At 41.2% G+C, this 3,735-nt stretch overlaps 1 annotated feature.

Annotated features, from left to right (window-relative positions):
* Window positions 2,436-2,937: an enhancer, noted in NCBI's record as "NANOG-H3K4me1 hESC enhancer chr21:18652025-18652526 (GRCh37/hg19 assembly coordinates)". NCBI's record gives its function as "activates a minimal SCP1, AML or CMV promoter by ChIP-STARR-seq in primed H9 embryonic stem cells {active_cell/tissue: H9 hESC(primed)}" and the evidence as "EXISTENCE:reporter gene assay evidence [ECO:0000049][PMID:30033119]".

The following is a 3,735-nucleotide window of genomic DNA, read 5'->3' as shown; positions in this document are numbered from 1 at the left end:
GACATTTTCCCCATTGTCTTGGGAATTAACGTTCAGATTCTCATTACTTATGCAAATATCTGCAGCTGGCTTGAATTTCGCCTCAGAAAATAGGACTTTTTTTTTCTATCACATTGTCAGGCTGTAAATTTTCTGAACTTATATGCTCTGCTTCCCTTACAAAGCTGAATGCCTTTAACAGCACCCAAGTCACCTCTTAAATGCTTTTCTGCTTAGACATTTCTTCTACCAGATACCCAAAATCATTTCTCTCAAGTTCAAAGTTTCTCAAATCTCTAGGGTAGGAGCAAAATGCCACCAGTCTCTTTGCTGTAACATGAGTCACTTTTGCTCCAGTTTCCAACAAATTCCTCTTGTTCATCTGGGACCACCTCAGCCTGGATTTTATTGTCCATATCACTATCAGCATTTTGGGCAAAGCCATTCAACAAGTCTGTAGGAAGTTCCAAACTTTCCCACATTTTCCAGTCTTCTTCTGAGCCATCCAAACTGTTCCAACCTCTTCCTGTTACCAAGTTCCAAATTTGCTTCTACATTTTTGGGTACCTTTTTAGCAATGCCCCACTCTACCAGCAGCAATTCACTGTATTAGTCCATTTTCATTCTGCTAATAAAAACATACTCAAGACTGGGCTATTTACAAAAGACAGAGTCTTAATATTGCTTTTGCTGTATCCCTGATCATAGGTTTAGGATGTTGTGTTTCCATTATCATCTGTTTCAAGACATTTTTTAGTTTCTTTCTTGATTTCTTTATTGATTCACTGGACATTCAGGAATGCATTGGTTTATATCCATGTATTTGTACAGTTTCCAAAATTCCTCTTGTTATCAATTTCTAATTTTATTTCATTGTGAGTTTTAAACCTTGTTTTGTGACCTAACATATGGCCTGTTTTTTGAGAATAATTCATGTGCTGAGAAAAAATGTGTATTCTGCAGCCACTGAATGAAATGTTCTGTAAATATCTATTAGACCCATTTGGTCTTTAGTGAAGACTGAGTATGACGTTTCTTTGTTGATTTTGTATCTGGAAGATCTGTTCAATGCTGAAAGTGGAGTGTTGAAATCTCCAGCTATTATTGTATTGGGGCCCATCTCTCTTTAGCTCTAATAATATTTTCTTTATACATATAGGTTCTCTAATGTTGGGTACATATATATTTAAAGTTGTTATATTCTCTTGTTGAATTTGCCACTTTATTATTGTATAGTGACATTTTTCTCTTATAGTTTTGTCTCAAAATCTATTTTATCTAAGATAATTATAGCTACTCATGTTCTTTTTTTTAGCTATGAAATATCTTTTTCCATCCCTTTATTTTTAGTCTATGTGTGTCTTGATGGGTGAAATGTATTTCTTGATGGCAACAGATCAATGGGTCTTGTTTTTTCATTCATTCAGTCTTTTTTTTCATTCAGTCTATGTCTTTTGATTAAAGGATTTAATCCACTTACATTCAATGTTATTATTGATAAGTAAGGACTTACTTCTGCCATTTTTTAAATGTGTTTTCTGGTTTTTTTGTGGTGTATTCTTCTTTCTTTCCTTCCTGTAGGTGTGCTTTATTGTTCATTCTTTTTTCCTTTTTTCTCCCCTGTGTGTTTTCAAATAAATTGTCTTCAGGCTCACTAATTCTTCTTTCTGCTTGATCAATTCTGCTACTAAAGGACTCTAGTACATTCTTCAGTGTGCCAATTGCATTTTTCAGCTCCAGAACTTCTGCTTGATTCTTTCAAATTATTTTAATCTCTGTTAAATTTTTCTGATAGAATTCTTAATTCCTTCTTTGTGTTATCTTGAATTTATTTGAGTGTCCTTAAAAAGGCCATTATGAATCCTGTGTCTAAAAGGTCACATATCTCTGTTTCTCCAGTATTCATTCCTGGTGACTTATTTAGTTCATTTGGTGATGTCATGCTTTCCTGGAATGCCTTGATACCTGCAGAGGTTTCTCTGTGTCTGAGTATTGAAGAGTTATGTATTCATTGTAGTCTTCTCAGTCTGGAATTGTTTGTACCCTTCCTTATTGGGCAGGTTTTCAAAATATTTGAAAGGACTTGGGTGTTATGATCTAAACTTTATCTGTTTTATGGGGGCATTCCAAGCCAGTAATGCTGTAGTTCTTGCAGACTCATAGAGATATTGCTTTAATGGTCTTATACAAGATTCAGCAGGATTCTCTGGATTACCAGGCAGAGACTCCTATTCTCTTCCCTTTCTTCCTAACAGAGTATGTCTCCCTGTTCTGAGCCGTCTAAAGCTGGAGATGGAATGACACAAGCCACCATCACTATGACTGCACTGAGTCAGACCTGAAGCCAGCACAACACTGGTTCTCCCCCAAGGCCACCTGTATCCATTTCCTGTGTACTGCCTTTGTTTGCTCAAGGTTCTGGGGTTATACAATCAGCAGGTGGCAGAGTCAGCCAGGCATCTGTTCTTCCATTAAAGGTGGTGACTTTCCCCAGGCCTAAGGTGGGTCCAGAGATGCCACCTTGGAGTTGGGGTCTAGAGGCAAAAAGCTTAGAAGTCTACCTGGTGTTCTATTGTACTGCACCTAAGGTGGCACTCAAACCACAAGACACAGTGCTTCCCACTCTTCCCTTTTTTTCCCAAAGGCAGAGAAGCCTCTCCCACCACAGTCCCATCAAGCATTCTGCCAGACACCACTGATATTTCCTTAAAGCTCAAGGGTTAAGTCAGCTTATTGTGAATTTTCCCTGGCCTGGGACTCAACCTTTAGGGCAGGAAGCTCCCCTCCAGCCCAGGGCAGGTCCAGAGATGCTGTCCGAGAATCCAGTGCTGAAATCGGGGACCCCCCCCCCCCCACACCCCCAGGAGCCTGCTTGGTGCTCTACCCTGCCGTGGTTGAGTTAGTACCTGAGGTGCAAGACAAAGTCTCCTTTACTTTTTCCTCTGCTTTTCTCAAGTAGAAGGAATTTCATCCCTTCACCACCACTGCTGGTAATATGTTGAATCTCACCTAAAGCCAGTAAGCCTCAGAGGCTCACCCAAGGCCCTTGACAGTATCTGGGTGTAGATCTGGTTGTTCAGGGCCCAACGGTTCTTCAGTTAGGTGATAAATGTTGTCAGGACTTGTTTCTTGACTTCAAGGCAGAGGATTTATTTTCTGGCTCAGGCCGTGTCTAGAAATGTGGTCTGGGAGCTAAGGCCTGTATCAAAGGACTTACAACTCTAACTAGTGCCCCATCCTGCTGTGGCTGAGCTAGCATCCAAAATGCAAGACAAAGTCACCCACACTCTTCCTCTCTTCTCTTCAAGTGGAAGGATGGGGACTATTTTCGAGCTGTGAGCTGTGCATCCTGGGGTTAGAGAAGGGGTGATGTCAACGCTCTCTTGGCTGTCCCAGCTGATGTCTCAGTACGTCATGTGCCCCCAAAGTCCATCGTCTTCTGGGCCCAGTTAAGCCCTAGAACTCACCTAAGACTTTCAGTCCTTATGGCCTAGGCTACCTTTCAAGTTTATTTGGAGACACAGAGCACTTTGGCCTTAAGTGCCAAGGTTTGCAGGAACTCAAATTGGGACCGCTGGGATTGGCAATTCCTCTCTGGCTAGTGCTGGTTAAATGTTCCCTTCCTGGGTGAGTGTCAGCTGAGTTTGGTCCAGTTTCCCTTTCTGCTCTAACAGGACAGCACTGAGGCCAATGCCTCACAATTGCTGTGCTTCCCCAGCACCCAGAGATGCTGTCTGCACCATGCCACTGCTCCCA

Source organism: Homo sapiens, chromosome 21 (assembly GCF_000001405.40).
Source record: "Homo sapiens chromosome 21, GRCh38.p14 Primary Assembly".
Lineage (NCBI taxonomy): Eukaryota > Metazoa > Chordata > Mammalia > Primates > Hominidae > Homo > Homo sapiens.
The sequence above is the reverse complement of the archived record's forward strand: the minus strand, read 5'-3'. Positions and strand labels throughout refer to the sequence as shown.